General features: G+C 36.1%; 1 protein-coding gene across 7 annotated transcripts in view; it reads right to left on the bottom strand.

The window, feature by feature from the left end:
- The window catches only part of ZNG1C (Zn regulated GTPase metalloprotein activator 1C), a 58,053-nt gene that overhangs the window by 20,293 nt on the left and 23,239 nt on the right, over nucleotides 1–14,521 (bottom strand). For 4 of the 7 annotated variants that reach the window (NM_201453.4, NM_001378113.1, NM_001291821.2 and 1 more), the window contains 3 exons: nucleotides 13,437–13,523; nucleotides 10,765–10,809; nucleotides 4,805–4,861 (listed from right to left, as the gene is read on the bottom strand). In NM_201453.4, coding sequence (NP_958861.2) covers nucleotides 4,805–4,861; nucleotides 10,765–10,809; nucleotides 13,437–13,523 — 189 coding nt within the window. The remainder of the gene's footprint in view (nucleotides 1–4,804; nucleotides 4,862–10,764; nucleotides 10,810–13,436; nucleotides 13,524–14,521) is intronic. The other 3 variants (NM_001378114.1, NM_001378116.1, NM_001378117.1) reach the window with 2 other exon arrangements.

Raw genomic sequence — 14,521 nt, 5'->3', positions numbered from 1 at the left:
AATGTTAAGGGCAGCCAGAGAGAAAGTTCGGGTTACCCTCAAAGGGAAGCCCATCAGACTAACAGCGGATCTCTTGGCAGAAACTCTACAAGCCAGAAGAGAGTGGGGGCCAATATTCAACATTCTTAAAGAAAAGAATTTTCAATCCAGAATTTCATATCCAGCCAGACTAAGCTTCATAAGTGAAGGAGAAATAAAATACTTTACAGACAAGCAAATGCTGAGAGATTTTGTCACCACCAGGCCTGCCCTAAAAGAGCTCCTGAAGGAAGCGCTAAACATGGAAAGGAACAACCGGTACCAGCCGCTGCAAAATCATGCCAAAATGTAAAGACCATCGAGACTAGGAAGAAACTGCATCAACTAACGAGCAAAATAACCAGCTAACATCATAATGACAGGATCAAATTCACACATAACGATATTAACTTTAAATGTAAATGGACTAAATGCTCCAATTAAAAGACACAGACTGGCAAATTGGATAAAGAGTCAAGACCCATCAGTGTGCTGTATTCAGGAAACCCATCTCACGTGCAGAGACACACATAGGCTCAAAATAAAGGGATGGAGGAAAATCTACCAAGCAAATGAAAAACAAAAAAAGGCAGGGGTTGCAATCCTAGTCTCTGATAAAACAGACTTTCAACCAACAAAGATCAAAAGAGACAAAGAAGGCCATTACATAATGGTAAAGGGATCAATTCAACAAGAAGAGCTAACTATCCTAAATATATATGCACCCAATACAGGAGCACCCAGATTCATAAAGCAAGTCCTGAGTGACCTACAAAGAGACTTAGACTCCCACACAATAATAATGGGAGACTTTAACACCCCACTGTCAACATTAGACAGATCAATGAGACAGAAAGTCAACAAGGATACCCAGGAATTGAACTCAGCTCTGCACCAAGCAGACCTAATAGACATCTACAGAACTCTCCACCCCAAATCAACAGAATATACATTCTTTTCAGCACCACACCACACCTATTCCAAAATTGACCACATACTTGGAAGTAAAGCTCTCCTCAGCAAATGTAAAATAACAGAAATTATAACAAACTATCTCTCAGACCACAGTACAATCAAACTAGAACTCAGGATTAAGAATCTCACTCAAAACCACTCAACTACATGGAAACTGAACAACCTGCTCCTGAATGACTACTGGGTACATAACGAAATGAAGGCAGAAATAAAGATGTTCTTTGAAACCAACGAGAACAAAGACACAACATACCAGAATCTCTGGGACACATTCAAAGCAGTGTGTAGAGGGAAATTTATAGCACTAAATGCCCACAAGAGAAAGCAGGAAAGATCCAAAATTGACACCCTAACATCACAATTAAAAGAACTAGAAAAGCAAGAGCAAACACATTCAAAAGCTAGCAGAAGGCAAGAAATAACTAAAATCAGAGCAGAACTGAAGGGAATAGAGACACAAAAAACCCTTCAAAAAATTAATGAATCCAGGAGCTGGTTTTTTGAAAGGATCAACAAAATTGATAGACCACTAGCAAGACTAATAAAGAAAAAAAGAGAGAAGAATCAAATAGACGCAATAAAAAATGATAAAGGGGATATCACCACCGATCCCACAGAAATACAAACTACCATCAGAGAATACTAAAAACACCTCTACGCAAATAAACTAGAAAATCTAGAAGAAATGGATAAATTCCTTGACACATACCCCCTCCAAAGACTAAACCAGGAAGAAGTTGAATCTCTGAATAGACCAATAACAGGATCTGAAATTGTGGCAATAATCAATAGCTTACCAACCAAAAAGAGTCCAGGACCAGATAGATTCACAGCCGAATTCTACCAGAGGTACAAGGAGGAACTGGTACCATTCCTTCTGAAACTATTCCAATCAATAGAAAAAGAGGGAATCCTCCCTAACTCATTTGATGAGGCCAGCATCATCCTGATACCAAAGCCGGGCAGAGACACAACCAAAAAAGAGAATTTTAGACCAATATCCTTGATGAACATTGATGCAAAAATCCTCAATAAAATACTGGCAAACCGAATCCAGCAGCACATCAAAAAGCTTATCCACCATGATCAAGTGGGCTTCATCCCTGGGACGCAAGGCTGGTTCAATATATGCAAATCAATACATGTAATCCAGCATATAAACAGAACCAAAGACAAAAATCACATGATTATCTCAATAGATGCAGAAAAGGCCTTTGACAAAATTCAACAACCCGTCATGCTAAAAACTCTCAATAAATTAGGTATTGATGGGACGTATTTCAAAATAATAAGAGCTATCTATGACAAACCCACAGCCAATATCATACTGAATGGGCAAAAACTGGAAGCATTCCCTTTGAAAACTGGCATAAGACAGGGATGCCCTCTCTCACCACTCCTATTCAACATAGTGTTGGAAGTTCTGGCCAGGGCAATTAGGCAGGAGAAGGAAATAAAGGGTATTCAATTAGGAAAAGAGGAAGTCAAATTGTCCCTGTTTGCAGACGACATGATTGTATATCTAGAAAACCCCATCGTCTCAGCCCAAAATCTCCTTAAGCTGATAAGCAACTTCAGCAAAGTCTCAGGATACAAAATCAGTGTACAAAAATCACAAGCATTCTTATACACCAACAACAGACAAACAGAGAGCCAAATCATGAGTGAACTCCCATTCACAATTGCTTCAAAGAGAATAAAATACCTAGGAATCCAACTTACAAGGGATGTGAAGGACCTCTTCAAGGAGAACTACAAACCACTGCTCAAGGAAATAAAAGAGGATACAAACAAATGGAAGAACATTCCATGCTCATGGGTAGGAAGAATCAATATCCTGAAAATGGCCATACTGCCCAAGGTAATTTACAGATTCAATGCCATCCCCATCAAGCTACCAATGACTTTCTTCACAGAATTGGAAAAAACTACTTTAAAGTTCATATGGAACCAAAAAAGAGCCCGCATCGCCAAGTCAATCCTAAGCCAAAAGAACAAAGCTGGAGGCATCACACTACCTGACTTCAAACTATACTACAAGCCTACAGTAACCAAAACAGCATGGTACTGGTACCAAAACAGAGATATAGATCAATGGAACAGAACAGAGCCCTCAGAAATAACGCCGCATATCTACAACTATCTGATCTTTGACAAACCTGAGAAAAACAAGCAGTGGGGAAAGGATTCCCTATTTAATAAATGGTGCTGGGAAAACCGGCTAGCCATATGTCGAAAGCTGAAACTGGATCCCTTCCTTACACCTTATACAAAAATCAATTCAAGATGGATTAAAGACTTAAACGTTCGACCTAAAACCATAAAAACCCTAGAAGAAAACCTAGGCATTACCATTCAGGACATAGGCATGGGCAAGGACTTCATGTCTAAAACACCAAAAGCAATGGTAACAAAAGCCAAAATTGACAGATGGGATCTAATTAAACTAAACAGCTTCTGCACAGCAAAAGAAACTACCATCAGAGTGAACAGGCAACCTACAAAATGGGAGAAAATTTTCGCAACCTACTCATCTGACAAAGGGCTAATATCCAGAATCTACAATGAACTCAAACAAATTTACAAGAAAAAAGCAAACCACCCCATCAAAAAGTGGGCGAAGGACATGAACAGACACTTCTCAAAAGAAGACATTTATGCCACCAAAAAACACGTGAAAAAATGCTCACCATCACTGGCCATCAGAGAAATGCAAATCAAAACCACAATGAGATACTATCTCACACCAGTTAGAATGGCAATCATTAAAAAGTCAGGAAACAACAGGTGCTGGAGAGGATGTGGAGAAATAGGAACACTTTTACACTGTTGGCGGGACTGTAAACTAGTTCAACCATTGTGGAAGTCAGTGTGGCGATTCCTCAGGGATCTAGAACTAGAAATACCATTTGACCCAGCCATCCCATTACTGGGTATATACCCTAAAGGACTATATGCACACGTATGTTTATTGCGGCATTATTCACAATAGCAAAGACTTGGAACCAACCCAAATGTCCAACAATGATAGACTGGATTAAGAAAATGTGGCACATATACATCATGGAATACTATGCAGCCATAAAAAATGATGAGTTCATGTCCTTTGTAGGGACATGGATGAAATTGGAAATCATCATTCTCAGTAAACTATCGCAAGAACAAAAAACCAAACACCGCATATTCTCACTCATAGGTGGGAATTGAACAATGAGAACACATGGACACAGGAAGGGGAACATCACACTCTGGGGACTGTTGTGGGTTGGGGGGAGGGGGGAGGGATAGCATTGGGAGATATAACTAATGCTAGATGACGAGTTAGTGGGTGTAGCACACCAGCATGGCACATGTATACATATGTAACTAACCTGCACATTGTGCACATGTACCCTAAAACTTAAATAATAATAAATAAATAAATTAAAAAAAAACTCAAGAAAAAATAAAAAATAAAAAAATAAAGTGAAGAGAGTTATTTGTGTGAAAACGCTAAGCTAAAATTTTCTATGTATTTCATGCATTTTCTCATAGAAAGAGTATTAGACATAGTGTTTGGCGTAGAAGTGTTAACGATTAGCCTCTAAAGTTAACTATCATTTACACTATAATTTCTACAGGAAAATGCAATATGATTTCCAAACAACCAATTAGTAAAACTTCCAAGAATATACCTCATTAAGAATGGTCTTGTATGCCAAAGGAATGGCAGGAAGCTTAAATCATGGATGCAATTGTGCAAATCATTCCTGTTAACTATGGGGAAAAAAGGTACATAACAATAAAAGTAACCAAATTATACAAAACATACCTTATTCCAGAGAGACTATCAAAGGCATGAAGATCTAATACATTAGAGAGATCAACTCTAAAAGGAAGAAAACTAACGTGAGCAGTTGGAAATTCTGTGAAATACATCCAATTAATCAAGAAAAAAAAACTCTGACTCTTAAAAAATTTTATACATAAAATTCATAGAAGTGGGCAAATGGTGTAAGATTTGAATCACAGTTGAATCAAGATTGAAAATTATTTGGTTATTACTTCAATGAATTAGGTTTTTTTTAAACTTTCAATTATCTTTTCAATCCTGAAATTTATGAGCTTTTCAAATACATTTTTATAGCTAAAAAATCAGCTAAAGAACAGAAACTTTTCCAAGCAGCTTATTACTCAAAAGATGAAACAAAAGAAATGACAAATAGAATTAACAAATAGGTACATTCCAGATACCTCTGCAATTTTTGTATTTCTTTTATACCCCCTCCCTTGATATAACATGTAATATAAAAATGAGGAGTCAAATAACCAATGTACAAAATATTAAGTTACTCTAGGACCCTGATCGTCACGTGATTTGATTTCATTCATTCAGAATGGGGCTGCATGTAGAAAGAAAATTCCCACCATCCGAATAGACATTATTTCTCTTAGAATTATTTAATGATAATTAAACTCATTTAATTGAATCCAATGATTCAAATCAGGTGAGAATAAATAACATATCACAATTAGCATTAGGTTTGGTTTAAATATAAAAAAGCAAATTTATAAAGACTGGTGATTGAGTTATAATTTTAACATAAGCCCAGAAAATCACAGAGGACAGGCTGGGCGCGGTGGCTCACGCCTGCAATCCCAGCACTTTGGGAGGCCGAGGCGGGCGGATCACAAGGTCAAGATCAAGACCATCCTGGCCATGGACAACGTGGTGAAACCCTGTCTCTACCAAAAATACAAAAATTAGCTGGGTGTGGTGGCACGCACCTGTAGTCCCAGCTACTCGGGAGGCTGCGGCAGGAGAATCATTTGAACCTAGGAAGTGGAGGTTGCAGTGAGCCGAGATTGCACCACTGCACTCCAGCCTGGCACAGAGTGAGACTCCGCCTCAAAAGAAAAAAAAAAAAAAAAGAACAGCAGAGGACAGTGATTTCTCATAATCAAAGCTAAGGTGAAGAAATATTTAAAGAAAATGACAAATGTATAATTTCAAATTTAGATTCCAGAAGCTTGCCAAACATTTGTTAAATTTTCTTACAAGGAAAAAAAACATCATTGGTCAGATTCAAGATTTTTTTTTCTTTAATGCACAAACATATAAGAAAAAACATCTCCTTTATCTTAGGACTGACCAACTGTGCCTGCTTTCTTTATTCTCAACAGTCTATCACATACTCGTACTCGTGGCAACAATACTGTGTTAGATTATGAATGCTTGTCTTGGCAAAAGAGAGACAAATTCCCATCTTATTACTCCAAAGTTCTATGTTAGTAGACTATAACAGCAACTCAAATTCTGGGCATTTTAGATGTACAGAATTAGAAAAATGATCAAGCAAAGAAGCAAATGTTCTATGAAGAAATTTTTGAATATCAGTTTACACTAAAAGGCCAAAGTCTTAATATTAAACATATTTCCTTTTTCACCCCCCACCCCTCCCCCCGCTACTGAGCATATTTATATTGACAGGTCACAAACAAGGGGCATGGGGGCTCCACTTTGGGAGGCCAAGGTGGGCGGATCACTTTGAGGCCAGGAGTTTGACACCAACCTGGCCAATGTGGCGAAACCGTCTCTACTAAAAATACAAAAATTAGCTGGGTGTGGTGGTGCACACCTGTAATCCCAGCTACTCGGAGGGTGAAGCAGGAGAATCGCTTGAACCCAGGAGGCAGAGGTTTCAGTGAGCCGAGAACGCACCACCACACTCCAACTTGGGGGACAGAGTGAGATTCTGTCTCAAACCAGAGTGAGATTCTGTCTCAAAAAGATAAAAATAAATAAAAATAAAAATAAAAATAAACCAAATGAATGAAGTTTCCCTCCAAGTTTGTCATCTTCATCTTAGGAAATAGCTTAAAGTTTAATAAAGTTTACACATGCCAATTTTGTGAATATCAAATTCAACAGTTTGGAAACACAAGCTTCTAAATAAACTGTTTCACTGTGACAGTGTCCTTGAGAATACATGCCATCCAGAGGTAATTCTGCTTTATACTCAGATTCTTTCCATACTTCCAAAAAAGGATCAATATTAGACCTGTATAACAAATTACACTCTTTTACAGAAAATAATAAAATATCCAAGTCTCTCACCAAATTTTCAAAAAAGAGGAAAAGTGTAAGCTTCCAGATGAAAGTTTCTATAGCTTTCCCCAAATTTAGTACCACCATGAAAAAGAAATTCTTCACTCATTCAAGGCATACGACTAGAAAACTAATTTCCATGGCATCAAATTAATTTCCTCCTTTGGAGATAAAACCATGAGATCTTTTCCAAAGCATTAAAATCGCCAAGAAAAAAAAAAAAAAGAAAAAAAAGACCATTACCAGCATTTTAAAACTGAGTAAGAGAATGAAGTAAACAAAAAAGGGAAAGAAAAAGCTTCAAAAGTTCATTTTTCTCCTAATTTCTTGAACTCTCTATTCCAGAAGTACCTAATGTTTTTCTTAAAAGAGAGGCTTTCAATTTTTCCCTATGTCTAAAGGCTGCTTTAAGTAGCTTAAGACCAAGGACAGGAGAGTGAAAACGAAGAGGGTTTTGGCTCTCCTCGGTGGGGGTGGAATTGCAGCTACTGCTTAGGGATATTTTCCAGTGGTCAGCTCTTCAAACTCCAGTGAGTCTCATAAACAGGGTGCACCAGCCAATCCAAGTATCCAGTATCTACAATGCAAACTGTAGATACTATCCAAATTGACAGTAGATAGCTCAGTAAATAGCTGAGCAAACTGCAATGATAGCTCAGTCTTGAACTCTGGAAATAAATTTCCAAAAGCCTTCCCCAGTGGCACTTCAAACTCAAAAACGTTTACAAAACCAATCACATTTTCCAAACCTGCTTCCACCACTACCCGACCTGTTGCTCCTCCTTCCTGTATTTCCTATACCTCGGAGATTAGTCTCACATTGAATCTACCTCCCAAGAGTCATGTTGCTTTTAAAATCCTTCACTAACTCCTTGCTCCCTACAGAAGAAAATCCAAACTATGTATCATGGCATTCAAGACCCTTTGTGGTAAGTTCTCTATCTCTTCAGTCATACCACTTTTTCTGTGCTACATAATACCAAGTTTTCTAGCCATTCTAAAATATTCAAAGGTCCCTGGAATACAAAATCTTCCTTATACCTGGAAAGTTATCCCTACCCTACTCCATCTGTAAAAACCTTATTCATTCTTTAAGACTCAGGTCAATGACTGCCTTCTCGGTCAATATTTTCCTGACTCTTTTTCAAGAAAAGTTGAGCAATCATTCCCTCTATTTTCCTATTATTATAGAACTCTGTGCTTTTAAAATTCTTGTATTAATATTAATATCTATTATGTTGCCTTTTTGTTTGTTTGCTTCTGTTTCCCCCCAATGACTGATCTCCTTAAAGGCAGAGTTTTTGCCTTATCCATTGCTTATATAGTCCTTAAAATGCTATGAAATGCATAGCAGGCAGTTTGTCAAATTAATTTAACTTATTATTGACCAGCTGTGTTTTGGTTTTCCTCTGTTCAGTCCACTTACATTTCTAAAAATTAAGAAAAAGTCTAGAGAAGATTAAAATGACACATCTTCTAACCTGTTACTCCTACTTCTGAAATCTATGTGGTTCACTAGTACTTCCATTTGCTACTAAATCAACTTAAGTCTTACCACTAAGACGATGCTACACACTATTCCTTTTCCTTACTCTTAACTACTCAAGGTGAGCCTTTTTCTACACATGCTTATAGCAGTTTATTGTCAGTACTTGTCAGCTACAAAATGGTAAAAAAATTTTAAAAAACAAAAAATAAAACAAAACTTCTATAAGAGTGACTTTGACTATTTTGTTAACCATATCTCCGGGTTTTTTGTTTGTTTGTTTTTTTTTTTTTGAGACAGAGTCTCGCTCTGTCACCCAGGCTGGAGTGCAGTGGTGCGATCTCAGCTCACTGCAAGCTCCGCCTCCCGGGTTCACGCCATTCTCCTGCCTCAGTCTCCTGAGTAGCTGGGACTACAGGCGCCCACCACCAGCCTCAGCTAATTTTTTGTATTTTTAGTAGAGATGGGGTTTCACAGTGTTAGCCAGGATGGTCTCCATCTCCTGACCTCGTGATCCGCCCACCTTGGCCTCCCAAAGTGCTGGGATTACAGGCGTGAGCCACCGTGCCCAGCCCAAATCTCCAGTTTCTAAACTGGTAAGCTCAAGTTGCTATGCCTCAAGGAATTTGAGAGAATATTTAATATAAGATTCAGGACCCAATAGTAAGAATTCTACTCAGGACATCTGATCTTCATTGAAAAGGATTCTAATCCAACTTCAGTCCTCATAGCAAGGAAGTACTATTTCAGAAAGTCCCTAGATTCTCAGATGCATTGGCAAGCACCATACACTGAAGAATTCACAGAAGATTTTAGTCACTTGCTCACTCATCCACTTGAAGTAAGAAAAATCAATCACTGCATGTTTATTGTTCTATAATAAAGCAAATGTTAGAAATAAAAGTTAGAAATGTCAAACACACTAAATTGTTACATAATAAACTAATCAAGACACAACTTTTATTCAGGACATGGATATTTCTGAAATGAAAATAAAAGAAGAGAATTGACTTAAAATGTTTATAAATACGAATATTATGACAGAACCAAAGCTATTTATGAGCATTATTTTTAAAAGCTTGTTTAAGTATCATGCACTTGTCTGTGTGACATTTTGTAAAGCGGAGAAAAATTAAGGAGAAAGGAATTGTAGAACACTAACAGGAAGAGGACAGATACTGAGGAATGGCTCATGGTATAAGTGAGATTATCAGAGACTCTCTACAATGGAATTTGAAACGCAGGGAGCACATTTGGTGTATGGTTGTAGAGGACTTACACTAAGGGCATTCTTCTGCTACCTCTGCCAGCAGATGAGTGGCTCCTGAGAATGCATACCAAATTAATTCCCCAGCTGTTCACATGCATATAAGCAGCTGCTGCTGTTACTGCCTAATACTTATGGCAGTCTGTCAGCACCTCTAATCTCTGCCATAGCAGACAAGCCACTCACCTAAGGCCTCTGCTGTACTTCCAAAGAAAGAATTTCTCAAGTAGAGACTGAGTGGAACTAGACTGCCAGCTGTGAGCCTCAGAGCTCCTGGCTGCCTGTTGCTGAGTCTATCAGCTGCTGAGCCTTTCTCACCAAAAAAAAAAAAAAAAAAAAAAAAAAAAAAAAAAAAAAAATGAGCTTAATAAAATAACCCTGCACAGAAATTTTCTGAAATTAAGATAACATTCAATGGAAAACAGAATTTAATCTACAGAAATACACTTCACAGATGTTTTAGGAACAGAACCTAGAGAAAATGAAAGTCAAAATTTAATAAAAGAATTTGTCAGGAACTTCAAGGTAAAGACTCCATGTATTTTTTGGCAACTATAAAACACTAAGAAGGCTTTTTAAATATTAAAAAGCCATTTAAACACTTCAAATTAAGATTCCTCAATATACTTCAGATTTCTGTACTGAGTTACCCTCTCGAGTGTTTGGAAGTCTTTTCTTCCTCATTAAGCAAACACTTACACAGTGTTATCATGGCTTTGTAATCTTAGTTTTGAAGACAGGCAAATGTACTAGTCAAATATGCCAAACTAACTTATTAAGAGCATTCCAAACAACATTTTGGATCCAAATCTTTTTAAATGCACTTAGATCTTTCTTATATCAGAATCAAGCATATTTGTCAATTACTTAATGTTTATTATTAATAACTAAAATGATTTGTTATTAATAGGAATAGCTTTTTTAAAGTACCTTGATCTTTGTGTTTCTAAGATTTGTCCTAGTCCATTTATGGATCTGAAATAAATAATAAATGAGGAAGACAAAGTTTAAAAGTAAAAATTAACTTTTTAAAAAAGTATACAAAGTATATTGTTTCTAAAACGGGAAATAAGCATACCCAAATACATCTGGAACCAGAAAAAAATTAAAAACAGAAAAACAAAACTTGCTTTAAAAAATAATTATGATTTTCCTTCAAACAATAAATCACATATATTCCACTCATACATCAATAAAACATATATGCAAAAATTCACACAACTGTCAGATTAAGGGCTACTTTGTGGTTAATAAAAAGACGCTTCACTTTAGAAAAAATCATTCATAAATAGTCAGTTATCCCAGTGTTCTTAAAAATGAGTAGATACTCAAAATTTTTACGGTGGTCACTTTTTTCCTCAGGCATACATGGTAGAAATGGCTATATACACACTAAAAATAAAAACCTAGTTGTAAGTTGCTTTGCCCCCAGCCTGTCCTTAGTATTCACAGTAATTCTAAGTCACACATCCCAGGTTCCTTTATAGAATAACCTCGTCAGTTCCCTAATTAGGCTCTCTACCCGTTATGCCTGTTCTCCCTCTTTTGATACTATAGAATATGGCTTTGTATGGAACCAAAAAGTACCTGTTAAATTCTTTTCAACACACTGTACACCTCATCTATTTATCTTTTCCATTGCCTATCATCAATCATCAATTCTCTATCATGAATTCAATTGTCTTTAGGGTTACTTACCCAAGATTCTTGCTACTTGTTCAAGTTTGTTCTCATGGGTAAGGCTTCCCACATATAATGATTCTGAGGCAAGTCTCTCCACTATTTTACAAAATTCTTAAATCTTCTTTTTTGAATACACTCTAGTCTGATGGCTAATTCCTCTCAAACATGTTTACCTTTTTTCACCTCCCCAAATATCATTCTGAGTCAGTCACAAGTCTGATATAAACGGAGGGTAAAAGCCAAAAGGGTGTGTAATTTACCAAATTGCTTCTACCAAATTCATTTCTAGTACTGTTAACAAGCTGGCTAATAGTCAATATTGTCAGTGTCAGAGATTTAGCTTAGGTCTCTATAAGGATATAAAAGTCAAGTAATAATTATCATTCCTTTTATGCCAAAAACGTTTGCTAAATAGATTGTGTTCTTCTTAGCAATCACAATGGTGCACAAGATTTATGAAGAGAAACAAGATTAGAAGACCAGTGTCAAAAAATGTAAAAGCAATCTTCATTCATCACTTTCTCCTTTTCAAAATCAGCCATCTTTTTCTTTCTTCCCTTTTTTACTATACCTTGAACTTACTATGTAAGCTAAGAAAAAAATTACATAATAATAGCTAACAGAGCACTTACTATGTGTCAGCACTGTGCAAAGTTTACCAACATTGTCTCATGTAATACTCAAAGCAAACTTATGATAGGCATTATGCCTTTTACAGAGGAGGCTTTAAAAGGGTAAATAAGCTCCCTAAGAAGACAATGAGAAACAGACCAAGGATTAGAACCCAAGCAGATTCCAAGGTCTGTGATCTTCAACACTAGGCAACAATACCTACCCTCCACATGGAGACATTATATTTTTTTATAGTAAAGTTTAAGGACATTACTATTAAAATAAGATGAAATATGTGGAAAAAATATGAATTTCTTTCTTCCACAATCATTAATCATGGCAAATAATCTCCTAATGAGCCTTACCTTTATTGATTCAATTTATAATATATACTATATGAACTGAGATGACAGATTGAAAATCTAGTCAGTAGAACTTATAAATACTAAGAATAGTAATTTTGAGCCATCACGCTCAAAGCATTGTACACATTAAAGATAACCAATAATAATAGCTACCGAATGTCTCTCTGTATAGGGCTTTTATTAGTTCAGGTCTTACAAAATAATTCAAAACAAAGTCCCTGAACTATAACTTCATTTGAAAAGTCCATCTTTGTTTTCAAAAGGAATGGGAGTCTCCAGAACAGTCAGCAAAATGACTGTTAGCACATATTTGAGCATCATTCATATTGTCCTGATTGTCCTATGCTGATCAGCCTTGGCTATGGACAAAGAAGATATACAAGCAAGCTGGAAGACAATGCATGGTTGACAGTTAAGGAAGATGAAGTCAACAAGAGTTCAGGGAAAACTGAGACCACTTGAGTCAGGGAAGACTTCACATAGGAAGCGGGGAGAGACAGAATAGGCTCTATAGAATAAATTAAAAAAAAAAAAACAGAACAAGAAAGAACTCAGGGATTGGCAGAGTGAGAATACATTATGAGTAAAGACAGGAACTGACAGGATGCATCCATGGGAAAGTGAATTAACCATCCTGGGTAAAGTTAGGGAAGACTGACATTAGGAAAGAGTCAAAGAGAAGACAGGAAAAGAAAGATGGAGTGCGAAGACCCTGAATATCAGTCTATTAACTGTGAACTATATTCTGCAAGCACTGGGGACTAATTTTATGTATTACCATTTATATAACAATTAGCCATCAACAATATATGTGATTCCCTAACGTTCTTGAAGCAGGTCAACCTTATACCTTAAGTTTCTACAGGGCAACAATCAGAGTAAAAAATATTCTGTGTATACAATATGGATCTGTAGGCACTTAACACACTTATCATTTTGTACCTAATTGTCGTTCTTAATTTCTTTACATCTTCTTCTGGAACCAAGTCTGTTTTATTAATGAGAATGATATCTGCCAAAGCAACTTGCCTAAAATAGCAAACAAAAAGAAATGTTAAGAAATTTTAAATAATATACACGCATGCAGATTAATACATCAAAAGAGAAATGTTAACAAATTAAAAATAAATAAAAACACCTCATGTAGATCAATATATCAGTTAAGGATTATATAGTGCTCTATAGGAGTGATTCAGTTTACTCCTAATCCGCTAATTTTTCAATGTGAATGAATTGTATTCATTACTATGCAAGTTCAGATTTCACATTACCCATTTGCAAAGTATTTACTAAGTTCTGTTACTTGCTACTCTTGTGCTACAAAGATAAGTCTCAAAAAGTTTACAATCAAAAGGATGATTTTAAACTCATAATTTTCTTTGTGAAGAAAAGCATAAAATTCAGATATCCAATATGGTAAAAAGAAGAAGAGTTTACCTACTAAAATACTGTAATATTTACCAAAATTTTCAAAGAAATAGAATAACTTCACTTAATACTAAAAACTGTATTAAACAGGTTTTTTAAAACTATACTTCAGAGCTGGGCATGGTAGAGCACACCTGTAGTCCTGGCTACTTAGGAGGCTGAGGAGGGAGGATCCCTTAAGCCCAGGAGTTCAAGTCCAACCTGGGCAACATAGCAAGACTCCATTTCTTAAAAAAAATAAGCTATACTTCAGAAGATATATCAGGATATTGCACAAATGTCTTCTTTATCACTATAAATATACTGTATATTATCTCTGTAAAGAATCCAGTTGACTGAATGCTAGATAACAAAGTAGATGATAATAATCAGAAGCTCTATTTTCTATTAACAGGATAGTAAAACTGGAAATTCTTTCAATTTTCCTCAATTATTCAGGGTCTTATGCTTTATCTCAAAGAATACAACTAAATTCTCAAAACTAAATTAACTTTAGTTCACTGAAAGAGCAGGTTTCAACAGTATGTACATCACAAATCCAATTTGGCTATTTTCTATTTGGCTTATTTATATTTTCTATAATAACCATATTTTCATAA

Source organism: Homo sapiens, chromosome 9 (assembly GCF_000001405.40).
Source record: "Homo sapiens chromosome 9, GRCh38.p14 Primary Assembly".
In the NCBI taxonomy this organism is placed as follows: domain Eukaryota; kingdom Metazoa; phylum Chordata; class Mammalia; order Primates; family Hominidae; genus Homo; species Homo sapiens.
This window is presented reverse-complemented; position numbering and strand designations above follow the sequence as displayed.